The sequence below is a fragment of the Homo sapiens genome, chromosome 5 (assembly GCF_000001405.40).
Source record: "Homo sapiens chromosome 5, GRCh38.p14 Primary Assembly".
NCBI lineage: Eukaryota > Metazoa > Chordata > Mammalia > Primates > Hominidae > Homo > Homo sapiens.
In genome coordinates, this window is record NC_000005.10 from 14,142,581 (window position 1) to 14,156,085 (window position 13,505).

The following is a 13,505-nucleotide window of genomic DNA, read 5'->3' on the forward strand; positions in this document are numbered from 1 at the left end:
TATTCGTCCAGCGCTGGTTTGACACGGATCTTCCGCAAAGGAACATTTCTTTTGGCCTCCCCAGACCCCGTCATCTTCCCCATTCATTCTGGCGGAGTAAGGACTGAGAAACCGTGAACCCGAGGTTCAGCAGCCGAAAGTCCCCTGGGAGATGGGGATACACCGAGAGGAATCCCATTTTACAGGAGAGCTTTGTACCCTTAGGAGTACCGTGGCCTCCGGGACTGGAGCAGATAACCTGTTTTCGGGCCCTCTATGTTCACTCAACAACTATTAAGAAGCCCCCTCCCCGAGCCAGGGCCAGCGCTGAGCCCACTAGGGAGGCACCCGCCCCGGCCCGCGTCACCCCGCCTTGCGGGCTAGACGACGAAACGCCTCGGCGCTCAGGGGACCGCGCACCGGTGCAGGAGCCAGCGCCCCGGTTGGGGGCGCAATGCCGGGCCTGGGAAGGTCCGCCCCGGCTGGTCAGAGCTTTCCTGCGCCTTCCAAGGCTTGGAGCTGCCCCGGGGAAGCAGACCGAACCAAACCGAACGTTCCTGCAGCCTCCCCGCCAGCCCTGCGGGAGCCCATCCGCCCAACGCGGCCCCGCCCCTCCCCCAGGCTCCGCCCACCGCCGAGCCCAGGCTCGGCCCTTGACGAAGTTCGCCGGAAATTACCGAAGCCCCTCTTTTTTTTCCTTCCTCTCCGTTCCCTGTTCTCCCTTTTCCTTTCACCCGGGTTCCCTCGGCCGTGATTTCCCCCTCCCCCCTCCTTCCTTCCCCATTGAAATCAAGATGGAGGCTCGCGGCAGCCGCCGGCGCCCGTGATCCCGGAGGTCTCGCCGGCCACGGGCCCCCGCCCTCGCGACTGCGCGTCCGGGAGGCGCGTGCTGCTGCCCGCGCTCCGGCCGGCGCCCGGGAGGCCGTGGCTCCGCGCCTCCGCCCCTCGGCCAGCTCGCGGCTACCGGGCGGAGTCCTCGTCTATGTGGGCGCGCTCCTTGGGCCGAGCCGCCGCCGCCGCCCCCCGCCGCCCCGGGGCTCTGCGTCCGCGCGCCGGGCGCGGGCAGCTGGGTGCTCGGCGCCGCCAGGCCCGGCGCGGAGCGGGCGGCACGCGGCGCTAGGGGCGCGGGGCCCGAGGCGGGCGCGGCCGCGGGCGCCGCCGCAGCCATGAGCGGCAGCAGCGGCGGAGCCGCCGCCCCCGCCGCGTCCTCCGGCCCCGCCGCGGCGGCCAGCGCGGCTGGCTCGGGCTGCGGGGGCGGTGCCGGCGAGGGGGCAGAGGAGGCGGCCAAGGACCTGGCCGACATCGCGGCCTTCTTCCGATCCGGTGAGTGCAACTGCGGCCGGCCCGCCCAGCGGCGCTGCCCCAAGCGCTCGGCCGACCCGCCGCGGAGCTGCCGAGCTCCGGCCACCGCGCGCTGGTGCCCGCCCGTCCGTCCGTCGGGGCCCGCAGGCTCTCGCCTGGGACCACTGCTTCCATGCGCCGGGGCTGCCCGCCCCACATCCGCGTGTCCCGCTGCCCGCGCAGCCGGGCGCGCGGCAGCTTGGCCCGAATGCCACCACCTCGCCCTCCCTGCGCCCGCCCCTCGTTTTAGGGCAGAATCCCCCGGTCTGCCGCTCCCGGCAGCCGCGGCTTCGCGGGTTGGGGCGCCGGCTCTTTGTCTCTTTCGCTGGAGGACCGAGGAGGCGGCGGCGGAGATGGCGTGGGCGGAGGCTCTTACCCCGGAGGCCGAGCGGACTGAGCCGGGGCCGGTCCGGGACGGGAAATTGGTCTTTGATCTGTGCCTGTCTCTGGCTGATTTGTACCTGGACCCTCCTCGACCCCATTAGCAGCCGGGTTTCTTTGCTTGGCCCTCTAGCCTGTCATCTCCCCGGCCTTGGTCTACACTTCTGTGAAACGGGGCAGTCACGGCACTCACTGCCCAGGGAGTGGGGACGGTGGCCGAGCTGAAGCTCGGAGGACCGGGAGGCGCGGTGAGCCATTGTCTCCGGGGACGACCCGGGAGGGTCAGCTGGGAACGTGGCCCCGGGGGGGCGGCGCGGGGCTGGGGCTCGCGGGGCACTGTGTGGGTGGCGTGGAGGTGGAGGCGGTGCCAGGTGGCCCCGAGTCCACCCCGGCGCAGAGGGGGTGGCCGCGGGAGAGGCGCGGGTGGCGACCGGTCCGCGGGAGGGGCACCGGGTTTGCTGCGCAGGGGGCGTGACAGGGCGTCCCCGGTACCCCAGCGGCGGCGCCTCCTCCCGCTCCGGCCCAGATCCCGCGCGAGCCGGGCCCGCGTCCCCGCGTCCCGCGTCCCCGCGCCCAGTCCGGTCTGCTCGCGCGTCGGCTGAGCAGCAGCAGGAGGAGGAGGAGGCGGCGGCGGCGGCGGCGGCCTCGGGGCCGGCACCCAGAGCGCAGTCCTTAGCGGGCCGGGCACGGGGCAGGGAGGATGCAGACTCCGGGTTGGAGAGCGGAGGAGGGCGGGCCAGGTCCGGGCCTGGAGAGGCGGGCGGGGGTGCTGGTGGCGGCCTCGGGGAGGACGGCCGGGCTGGGGACACCGACAGGCCGGGGGAGCGGCCCTGCGCTGGGGGACGCGCGGGAGGTCGGCGGTTCACGCTTTTCCGTGGCCTCTTTGAAAATCACCTCCCCAGATTCGGTGAGATCAGTTCCCCAATCCGGGTCACGAGGAGCAATTGCAGCGGGAGGGCGATGGTGAGAGGCAGAAGTTAGCAGTGCTGGTAGATACCTGGTTTAGTACTGTCTTCTCTTGGTTGTCTTGATCTTTGCTAGGCGGGGTTATTTTTGATTCATTTTAGCAGATTGGTTGTGGCTGGGAGTGACACAGCCGACTGTCCAGTGTTAGCTTGGGGTTAATCTACTCCCCAGTGCTCACTCTCCTTGAGAAGTGCCTGCAGAAAGCAAAGGTTTAGGAAAACATGAGCTCCTTCTAAAGAAAGCTACCCCCCCCCACCTTTTTTTTTTTGGTGCGACTGGCCAGATAGAGCAGCCCCGTCTTACCTCTTAATAGCAGAACTGGGACGTATTCCCTTCATGCCCTGAAGCTAAGTCTAGCTTTCTCTCTACCTACCTGTCACAGAATAATAGATTCTGTGCAGAATTCAGCTCCTCTCTGTTAGAAAGGCTCTTCTGCGTTGGAGATGGATTTTTTGGTGTTTGTGAGACCAGGCTTTTTTACATCTCTATTATGCATAGTACAAAAATCACTTCTGCTGCTGCTAAGAGCCCTCCCTAAAAGACACCGAAGATTTGCTGCCTGTTGGCGTGGCTCTCTCCAGGAGTTGTCGTCTGCTCTTGGCTTTGCTTAGGCCTGTGCTGCCCCCGCCGCCAGGGCTCCTGTTCATGTTCCGTTTGGGTCAGAACCAGGTAATGTCTCACTGGCTTGTTCCTTTCTTCTGCCCTCCAAAATGACAAACTTAACTTTTTAGTTGTTTCACTTAGAATCAGGAGCCAGGGCAGAACTTAAGTAGGTATCAGATGCAGCATCCCATTCCAGCGATAGCCTGGAACGTCTTTTTAAAAGTGAAATCTCCTTTGGGCAGCTCTGAGTCCCTGACCTAGATCTTGGCTCTAGCATCTAGGCCAACGATGTCTAGCAGGGGGCAGAGAGGGGTCATTCTGTTGGATGGGTGGGTGTGGGGGTGGGGTTTGAACAGTCAGGGCTGACCGGGCAAGGAAGCTGAGGAGAATGGAGCAGTCAAATCCATCAGAAATCTGGCTTTCTTTTCTAAGACTCAGAAACATGGGAAAATAGGTTCTCATTGACTGGGGAGGACAGATCATGGTGTGTTTTTGAGCCTGGTACTAAAAGTGCCAACCTGACTTAGACAAAGGCTTTCCATTGCTTGCCTTTCCTTTCTCAGCCCTGAAACTCTGTTTGCATGGCTGCCTGATTTTCTTTCTTTTTTTTAAATTCGTTCTTGTTGCCCGCATTCGGCTTTGTCTTTGTAGCCACAGATTGAAAACTAATACCAGTGGTTGGATGAAAGAAAGAGAAGACTTTAATAGAACTTTTAAACAATTAAGGGAAGTTCAGAAATAGAGTGAACAGTCCTGTGATTTCTCCATTACTGGAAGTGCTCACATAAAGGTGCTGTCACCTGGCAGGGTTTGGAGTTGGGCTCAGGGGACAGGACTGCTGCCCTGGAGAGGGGTCCGGGAGATGACCTTGGGGCTGTTCCCCTTTCCCTGTGGACTCTGGCTTTCTCTGAGTCCTCAGTGCCTAATCATTGTTCTCCGCTTTTCTTTGGGTAGTTCAGGGCTCCAGAGCCCTGGTGCCCTTCTCCTCTGCTGAGCGTCCACCCAGGGTTCACCTCACCCAAGGTCTCATTTCCTTTGCTGTCATTCCGTTCTCTGCTCAGGACCTTGGCACTCCCTGTTCATTTTGATGATCATTTTGATCACCTATTTATAGACCTGGCATGAAGCAGGCAGGCCAATTAGTGTTCAAGTGGATTGAGTTGTAATAATGTGAGTCAAGTCCTGGTGCTTGTGTGTTAAAGAGCAGTAAGAGATTTTCTGCAGGTGTTAGTGAATTTCAAACTTCACTTTTCTCCTTTGCACAGAGCTCAGCACAGTAAAACCAATTTCAATGCAAGAGCAAAAAGAAAAAAAAAGACACCACAAAAATGAGCTAGCCTTGTTTTAATTTTATTTTACAGATGAGGAATCAGCCTTAGGGAGGTTTCATGACTTGCCCCCCAGAGTGGAACTTGGGTAGAGTTAGAGTCAGGGCCCTGGTCCCTGGTGCTCTTTCCTGGTCGCTTCTCATAGCCAGGACGTTGCTTACATTAGTTCTCAACCCCACTGGGACCAATCATTTTTATTGCCAATCTATTTTGGGGCTCTGTTCTCGTGGCAATAAATCATTCTTTCAGAGCTCCCTATTTAACCTTGTGAGAGCGTGTGTGTGTGGTGGAGGTGCTTACATAAATGCAGTATTTTTAACCTGCCTGGCACGCTTTAGGTTGGCGTTAAATGAATATCTGGAGAATAAAGGTTTGTAGTTATTCTGAAGCATCACGTCCTGTCGTGCTTGGTTTCTTTCATTATTAAATCTTACTCGACTCCTCCTGCAGCCCCTGTCTTTCCAGGGAACAGGTGAAGAAAATCAAGTCTATTAGGGAGAAGCACACATACTTTTATATATTTTGATATGACGGTTTCCTTGTGGAGTATTGAGAGAAGCTTTTCTTCATATTTATACCTTGAATGCCACTTAGGTAGTTGGCCTGGGGCGGGCTGTGCTACTTCTGTTGGTATTGAGAAGCCTGGCAGCTTTGGTCCTTGTGAGCACCAATAATGATTGTATTACAAAGTGGGTCCTTGTTACCCTCAATATTTCAAAAATAGAAACTGAAGGAAATGTAATTTGATAGTGAATGTTGGTTTCTCCTTTTTAGGTGGCACAGTCAGTTTTAGAGGAAAGCAAGGAGATTTCTAAAATTCCTGTAAGTGACTTTCGAGGAATCAAAGAAGTGCAGTAAAGTCATCACTGAAAGAAGCTTTTCATTGAGACCTTGTAAACCGACATATTGATGTGGGATATTGTATTTTTTCCCTTTGCAATTTAACTATTTAAGATTCAAATGAAAATTTAAAGAAGCCATTTCCACCATTTAAATGATTAACCAGATTTAAATGAAGCCGGTGGTGGTGTTCAAAATGAAGCATGTGGTTTACATATGTTTCCTAAATGTACCCTAAAAATATGTAATTTCAGTGGCCTTTTTTGACCTTTTAAATGTTACGATAAAGTTGAGATTTGTTCTGAACTGCAGGTGAAAGATGTGTTTGAAGCTGTCATAATCTAAGTCAGCTGTATTCAATATTTACTTTGTTTATTTACTTGACTATCGAGAAAATAAAATTTTATCTCATAACCTTGGCAGAATTCCAGAGAAAAGTCTAATTCTTAATCAATAGCCACACTTTACTGCCTAGTAAACTCACTGATATTGATAGGGATGAGCTGTGTTTTACTACAAAAAGCAGTGATAACACCCTGCCCCCATTCCTCCTCAATTCTATAATGAATTGGCTTTTATTTCCTTAAGTGCATTGTCTTGACAAAATTTTAACAGCGCCACTGGCAGGAAATAGTAGCGACTCCCTGGACAGTGAAGACTTGGATTTGCGGGAGAATCCCAGTGTATTCTGGTGGAAAGTGCGTGCTCTGACCTCATCCTCCCATTTCTTCCAAGTACTCAGCTGCGTAGACTTGGCCAAACTGACAAGGGTGATGGTGTGGTTGGCCTGGTGGATGGAGATGCTGTCTTTTGAATCTTCTCAGCCTCATTTTAATTAATGGGCTGCAGGGACCAGGCTGGGTCCCCAGCTGGAGCAAGGGGTAAGCGGGTTCGATGTGCATCCACAGGGTTCTCTTCGTCCTATTCCAGTTCTGCTGACGCGCTGTTCAGTGGGCCACTGGGAGAGGGAATGAACAGGGAGACTTCCCAGTGACCCTTGCACTTGGGAATTCTGGCTGCTGTTACTCAGCGGGAGCTGTTCTGGGAATTCCTATTGCTGTGCCTCTGAACTGAGGGGAAGGGAGCATAGAGGAGTGGTCAGAGGCTTGCGGGGCCCTGCATGTGCTGCTGGCTTCCTGCTGGACCCCTGGTCTCCTCCCCCTGTGCCCGCAGAACAGGACTTCGCTCTCACTGCCAAGGTGCCCAGCTCCCTGCTAGTTCGTAAATCTCAAAGAGAGATACCTGGCTAGATTGTCCAGTGAGGACTCCCAGCTTTTTGATGTTACTGAGCCTTCTGTGCAGACAGTCTTGCTTTTGGGGAATCTTGCTCTCATGTTTAATGGTTAACAAGTGCATAAACACTCATTTTCGCTTCTCATTCACTCATGGAAACACTTAATTTGCTTACTGAATAGTTGTGTTGTTACCTTAATTTCCTCTTTTCTGTCCCCTCTCCACATAAGGAAGCCCCTTGAAACCCAAATTACTAATCACCTGCCCCCCGGGAAAGGTTGTATGTGGGGAAAGAGAGAGCAAACCAGAGTGAGGCTACGAGCGGGGGGCAGAGGGCATTGACCTCTGAGATTTCTCCCTGTGCCATTTGATGGCAGAGGGGCTGTGGAAATGTAAAACCTCGTTTTGGTGATGAACATACTTGAGTTTTAGATTACTGGCTCTTTTCATTAGCCACATGTCTACTCTTGTCTGATGGGGGAGGATTGTAGAGTAGTCTAGAGCTGGTGTTTTGGAGGCATCTTCCTATTTGGGCTTTGTCATCAATGAGTGCATTTTAGCAGTTACACTGACAGAGAAAGCTTTCATGAAAACTTACTCAACACAAAGACTGGATTCTAGGTCTAGGGTACTTTGACTTTGTGGTGTCCACGTGAGTTGATCAGGCTTGTTTTCTCACAGTCTGTAGCCCTGCTATGGACAGGGATGAATTGCAGGAGGTTTTTCTTGGGGAGGGATTTCAGTGAGTGGCAGCAGATTTGTCCTGGCCGCTCTGTGGACCCCTTTCCTGAAAGGAGGGGGAGCTGGTGCTGCTCCATTACTGGCTTACTGCAGGGAAGGCCAAGGGGCCCCTTGCTGTCTGTCTGTTGTTGTTAGCATTGAAACTGTGTAGGTGTGAATAGATCACAAACTATAGTACAGCCATTCCATTAATGTTGAGTGAGAGAAGACAGTCTCAAAATGCTGCATGCTGTATGAGTTCCTTTATATGACACTGGCAAAAAGACAGAACCGTAGTGACAGAAAACAGATGGGCATTGATTGCCAGGAGTTAGGGGGTGGGGGAGTATGGCTACAAGGGGGCAGGAGGCAGGTGAAGGATGGGGAACTGATTTGTATTCTGGTTGTGGCAGTTACATGTGTTAAAATTCACAGACCTTTACACACATGCACACAACACACACACACCGTTTAACTGTATATGTTATTTTAAAATGTGACATTAAAAAAAGGCCAATAATAAACTGGGAGAAAAACTATTACAAATCAAAGGATTATATATATGTAATTAGTAAAGGGCTCCCTCAAATCAATTAAGACAAGACATATCTAGAAAGAAAATAGGCAAACAATTAAAAGAAGTATGAATGGCCAAAAAATACATATTCAGCCTCACTCATAATCGAGGAAATGCAGATAGAACCAATGATACCAACAAAAGCCAAAGCTCATATAAGTAATTATTCTCTAAGTAAACTTGAACAAAATTGAGTTAATTTGGAAAGATTTTATATCGATTTGAAAGATAGTAATACTTGTGTTCATACTTTGCTATGTAGGACCTAGCTTCTTATAATTGCCCGGGGGTGATCTAGGGTAATGGTAAAGATAGATAGGGGGAAATAAAGATTCTTTCCTGGGATTCTGTAATACGTGTTAATTTGGAAATCCATCTGGTGTATAAGTCAAATCTGACTTACAATAATCTTTAGCTATAGACAGTTACCATTTTTGCTGCTTCAAAATTTCCCACTCCCATGATTTGTGCTGCTGTCCAGATCGAAGATGACAAGTGGCCCATGCAGGATGATCTTCAGCGCCTCACAGTTCCTGGTGCGAAAGAAGAAGTTTAGTTTCATCTGGAGGGCTTCGTTCCTACATGAGTAACTATAGGAGGTCATTTGCCCTCTGTTCTTAGGCATTCTTGTATATAATTGACAGCTACCTATTTCACGGTATTGACAATTAATAAATGGATTTATGAAGTGTTAGCCCCACCTACTTTTAAGACTCATAACCATAAAACTATGCATGAACTTGAGAAAAACACAGTTCAAATTTACACGTATAATCCTAAAATATTTTTAAATGGGGTTTGTTGGTGCCTGTTTTTTCATTGTGTGTGTGTGTGTGTTTGTGTGTGTGTGTGTGTGTGTGTATGTATGTATGTAGGTATATCTCTTGGAAAGTCATAAAATACCCCTCTTTGGATTTCTGTGGAATAGGTGGTTTCAGTGCAAGAATGAATGAATATATCGGAGACTAATACTTGAAATCTATTTTCAAAGAACTCGTGTTTCCTAGTATATATGAAGTGACATGTATAAATGACATGAATGCTTTCAGGCAAAATGTTTAGATTGTGATTTGAAAATGATGTGCATATGAGAAGTCGTTAAGATGTTGGCCAAAACAGTGTGTGTATAAATTGATCTCCATTGTTTATTCATTTTGCTTTGCTTCCTCTTGCATTGACCCATCCACTTTTTCAAGTTCACAATGATTCTTTTTTGCTGCTGCCATTGAAGGATGCCACTGATACCTGTGAGAGGGCACTCTTTGGCATTTGCATTCTGAAAGTTTTGCATTTTCTTATTTGTGTTTACTTTTTAAGTTCATCCTTGTTCTGCATGACAGATATGCCAGGGCCTGCAGGAATAGCATTAAAATTCTGTTGTTTTTTAGATAACTTTATTAGTTTAAGTTTTAAATGATAAGGACCGAGAGCTACAATTCCTCTGTTTTTTATTCTGAAGCTGAACCACACAAATATTGAAAAACAATGCTTTGACTGGAGTGTTATATATATTTCCACCTAACTAGCTTCACACAATAAAATCTCTAAAGTTTAAATTGCCCAATATTTTGACATCTAAATAACTGGAATAAATCCCTCATTAGTCTAATAGTAAACAAATAGATTTCTCATTTGTAGGTGGCTTTTTAAAAAATTTAAGTTCATGATTATGAGAAATTCTTCCCAGCGTTCACTGCCCTTTTCAGTACCAGAGTGATGAAAGCTGGCATGCAAGGGAACATTACTAGCTCGAAAAGCAAAACAAAACAAAACAAACCCAGATCGCATGGGGGCAGGATGTATTTCAGTTTTTTTGTTTGTTTGTTTGTTTGTTTGTTTTGAGATGGAGTCTCGCTCTGTCACCCAGGCTGGAGTGCAATGGCGCAATCTTGGCTCACTGCAACCTCTGCCTCCCGGGTTCAAGCAGTTCTCTGCCTTAGCCTCCCAAGTAGCTGGGATTACAGGCGCCCGCCACCATGCCCAGCTAATTTTTTTGTATTTCTAGTAGAGACGGGGTTTCACCATCTTGGCCAGGCTGGTCTTGAACTCCTGACCTCGTGATCCACCCATCTTGGGCTCCCAAAGTGCTGGGATTACAGGCGTGAGCCACTGCGTCCGTATTTCACGCTTTTTAAGAGTCACTTCACCTCCATCTAAATTTTGTTGCACTTACCCTAATATGTCTTGGGTCCAGGAGCCTGGAGAACGGGTGCTAATTTGATGGTTTCAGGCTGTACCTTTTACTCACGTGCCAATTCAGATCAGTGCATCCTGATGGGTTGCCCATAGGAGAGCAGCTCTTCATGGCAGGGGCTTCACTGTAGAGTCATTTAGTGCCAGAATGTTGTTAGTAGGTAAATTTTGTTAGTTGGTTGGTATACATATTACTTTTCCAATATTTAATTGCAGAATTTGCAGGATTCATTGTTAGGCCTTTCTCTCATACCTCATGGGTATTGTTTATTAGGGCCAGCCTCAACTCTGCTGGAGTCTGAATTCTCATAAGGTTCAGCCTGTTTGTAAGACGGAAGCTGTCCACTGAACCAAAGAGCTGGAAGCCTTCGAAAGGCATGCAAGATTGAGGTGGAATCACACAGATTTTCGGTGATAACCTGCAGAGTGGACGATGGAGGCTTTGGAAAGTAGGATGGCAGCCTTGCAACAGCCTGCCCCTGGCCATGCTTGCCACACCCTTGCTATCCTCTAAATCTTTAACAGCAGCTGCCAGGGAGCAGCAAGAGAGGCCAGGACCCCTGTCACGTGGGATGAGATAGCACCTTTGGAATTGTGCTCCATAGGAAAGTAGAATAAGCACATCTGCAAAGTAGTAACCTGCTTGCAATGTCATAGGATGAGATTTAAGATACTGTGTTTATTTCTTTTTCTCCCAAAGCTGTAAGTCCCATCCTGTTCTCTAAGAAAACCTGGTAAAATCTTCCTCTTCACTGTTATCTCTGTATTGCCACCACTGGTTTTACCATCCAAGGGCCTGTACTTTGCCAGGCACTGTGCAGAGTGTTTTATATACTTTTCCTTGGATAGAAGCAGCTCCCCCTCCTTCAGCAGGTGGATGCCATTCCTGGGTTGTGGATGAGGATGTCTGCTTCTGGTAGGGCAAGCGACCTGCTTGCCCCATTTGACTCTGTTTGTGAGGGCCTGAATTGGAATTTAAGCCCAGGGCTGGCAGATTACAAAGCCCCCTCCATGCCCCTTCCCTCTCATGGAAGGAGAGAGTAGGCATGACCCCTCCTCTATACAGCATCCCACAGCCTCCTGGATTTTCATTTTAAAATCCTGAGAATTGAATTTGTGTATACTCGTGTGTTAAGGATCAAAGCTATAATTTACAAGTCTCACACCAAATAAAACTTGAGTGAAAGATTCCAGGCTATAGCAAGTATTTTTCTCATGTTGGTTTGGGCCCTGTAATTTAGTTTCTGTGCCTTTCCTCTTCTCACCTAATTAATACTGATGTTACCTTTTACGTAAATAACCCTAGCAGTCCCAGCTTTCCGGTGGAGGCATGTTGGCTCTGTTGAGTTTTACAGGCTCCCCCGGCTCACAGTCTGGGGAGAAATCCTGATTGAAATCTTGGCCCTCTGTTTTCTTGGCTGTCTGGACTTGGACTCAAGTGTTGGATAGGAAATCTCTGGCTGTTAATGTGGGGGTTGGGAGTACGGGAAGGGCGGGGAGAGGCTGGCCAGGGAGGGAGGTTTCCCAGCCCTTGCTGTGTGTGACACATTAGAACACTACCAGGGCTTCCTTTCTAACTTAGGAAAGGAACGGGGCCGGGGAGTGAGAGGGGCAGGAGGGCACCACGGAGCTGCCTTTTTGGGGTTGGTTTTATAAAATGGTTGTGGTCACTCCTGGTTTTGCTATATATAGCTGTTTCGTTGTAGCCACTCATTTTTTTGCTGTTTTTCATCAAAATGTGCACGTAGATGATATTTAGTTGGGGGAAGCAGGGTCATTTCCTTCCCACTGTCTCAGGCACGTGTCCTAGGCTGTTCTGTGTGTGGGTTGCGTTCTCATCAGCCATACCTCATGTGGTCCCCTCACAGTCAATGGCATGATTTTATGGGATGCTTGCTCAGGTTTATGCCCACATAAAACTTCTGAGCTGTTGTTTTCGAGCATCATTTCCACACTGGGAATATGCTCTGTTTTTCTGTGTGACTCCACGTTTACTTTGGAGTTTTAATATTTCAGTCAGGATGATTGAAATGCTGGTCTCTTGAAGGCAGACACTGTATAATCAGAAGGTAGATTGTGCTCTAAACATTTACCAGTCACTTCCTCCTAGTTTGCCCTAGGAGTTTCTAAAACTTTCAAGCTTTTACATTTTTATGTAATTCTTTCCGTTTGAAGATTTCTAGGATTAAAAGGATTGGCCTTTAAGACCCTGGGTTGCTTTTGACCTGCTATTGTAGTATATCTTTTATTTTAAACTAATAAAGGTGATACAAAGCTCAGGTCCGAATTAACTTAGTTGAATTGTGATTTTGCTGTGTAGTTTTTGGTCATTTAGTTGGTCCATGTATTAATTGTGGATTACATCTAAAGTTATTTCGGGGTGGGGGTAAACTTACTTTGAGAAGGCAGAACTCATCATGCTCAAAGAAGCAAGAACAGCTTCAGATCCCCAGTTGTAAGTATTTCACCACTTCTGCTTTGTCTTCCTCTGCTTCTCTTTCTGGATATAGCTAATTTACATGTTATCTTGTTTCTGAACCATTTGAGAGTAGGTTACAAATATGATGATGTCCCTTACCTCTAAATGGTTCAGTGCATATTTTCTAAGAGTGAGGACATGCTCTTACATAGTGATCATAATCAGGAAATTAGTTTTGATATGATATCATGATCTAAATCACTAACTTTAACACCTTTTTACCAATTGTCTCAGGATTGTCCTTTTTGGCAGTTAAAAAAATTATGGTCCAGGATCTCACTCAGGACCATGTTACATTTAGTTTGTCGTATCTCTTCAGTTTCCTTGAATTTGGAACATCTCCTCAGCCTGTCTCCCTTGTTACCCTGATAGTTTTGACGATTACATGGTGGTTATTTTAAAGACTACCTCCCAGTTTGGGTTGCCTGATTCTCATGACTAAATTCAGGCTGTGCATTTTTGGCAGAAGGGCTGCATCCTTTTTGGAGCATCGTGTCTGGGAACATGTGATATCCACTGTCCCACTGTGGTGATGAGCACTTTGATCACTTGGTTCAGGTGATGACTTGCAGGTCTCTCCACCCTATTTGTCCCTTTGTCATTAGTTAGCATTTTGTGGGGAGATAATTTGAGGCTGTTCCTCTCCCTTCTTTCATTTGCTAGTTGTAGCATCCATTGATGATCTTCACCTGAATCAGTTATTAATATGATGGTTGCGAAATGTTGATTTTTTTTCTAACTTTGTAATTCCTTTTGTATTTAGTTGACTTTGTACTATAAGGAAGAGCTTTCCTTATCTTCCACTTATTTATTTATATAAGTATGGCCTCAGAAATTCCTGTTTTATGCAATGAGCTATGATCTT

At 48.7% G+C, this 13,505-nt stretch overlaps 1 protein-coding gene across 8 annotated transcripts in view, besides 6 other annotated features; it reads left to right on the forward strand.

Annotated features, from left to right (window-relative positions):
• Positions 234–673: a silencer, noted in NCBI's record as "silent region_15934". NCBI's record gives its function as "represses an Ori minimal core promoter by ATAC-STARR-seq in GM12878 lymphoblastoid cells {active_cell/tissue: GM12878}" and the evidence as "EXISTENCE:reporter gene assay evidence [ECO:0000049][PMID:35858748]".
• TRIO (trio Rho guanine nucleotide exchange factor) overlaps positions 762–13,505 on the forward strand; it is a 366,863-nt gene continuing 354,119 nt past the window's right edge. For 6 of the 8 annotated variants that reach the window (NR_134469.2, XM_047417679.1, NM_007118.4 and 3 more), the window contains exon 1: positions 762–1,302. Coding sequence is in view for 5 of the 8 variants with exons in the window: in NM_007118.4 (NP_009049.2) it covers positions 1,146–1,302 (157 nt within the window). In the remaining 3 variants the exon portion in view is untranslated. Of the gene's footprint in view, positions 1,950–2,225; positions 2,442–13,505 lie in introns of those variants that run through there. The other 2 variants (XM_011514110.4, XM_011514108.2) reach the window with 2 other exon arrangements.
• Positions 804–1,003: a silencer, noted in NCBI's record as "silent region_15935". NCBI's record gives its function as "represses an Ori minimal core promoter by ATAC-STARR-seq in GM12878 lymphoblastoid cells {active_cell/tissue: GM12878}" and the evidence as "EXISTENCE:reporter gene assay evidence [ECO:0000049][PMID:35858748]".
• Positions 1,254–1,593: a silencer, noted in NCBI's record as "silent region_15936". NCBI's record gives its function as "represses an Ori minimal core promoter by ATAC-STARR-seq in GM12878 lymphoblastoid cells {active_cell/tissue: GM12878}" and the evidence as "EXISTENCE:reporter gene assay evidence [ECO:0000049][PMID:35858748]".
• Positions 1,664–1,783: a silencer, noted in NCBI's record as "silent region_15937". NCBI's record gives its function as "represses an Ori minimal core promoter by ATAC-STARR-seq in GM12878 lymphoblastoid cells {active_cell/tissue: GM12878}" and the evidence as "EXISTENCE:reporter gene assay evidence [ECO:0000049][PMID:35858748]".
• Positions 1,834–1,913: a silencer, noted in NCBI's record as "silent region_15938". NCBI's record gives its function as "represses an Ori minimal core promoter by ATAC-STARR-seq in GM12878 lymphoblastoid cells {active_cell/tissue: GM12878}" and the evidence as "EXISTENCE:reporter gene assay evidence [ECO:0000049][PMID:35858748]".
• Positions 1,924–2,623: a silencer, noted in NCBI's record as "silent region_15939". NCBI's record gives its function as "represses an Ori minimal core promoter by ATAC-STARR-seq in GM12878 lymphoblastoid cells {active_cell/tissue: GM12878}" and the evidence as "EXISTENCE:reporter gene assay evidence [ECO:0000049][PMID:35858748]".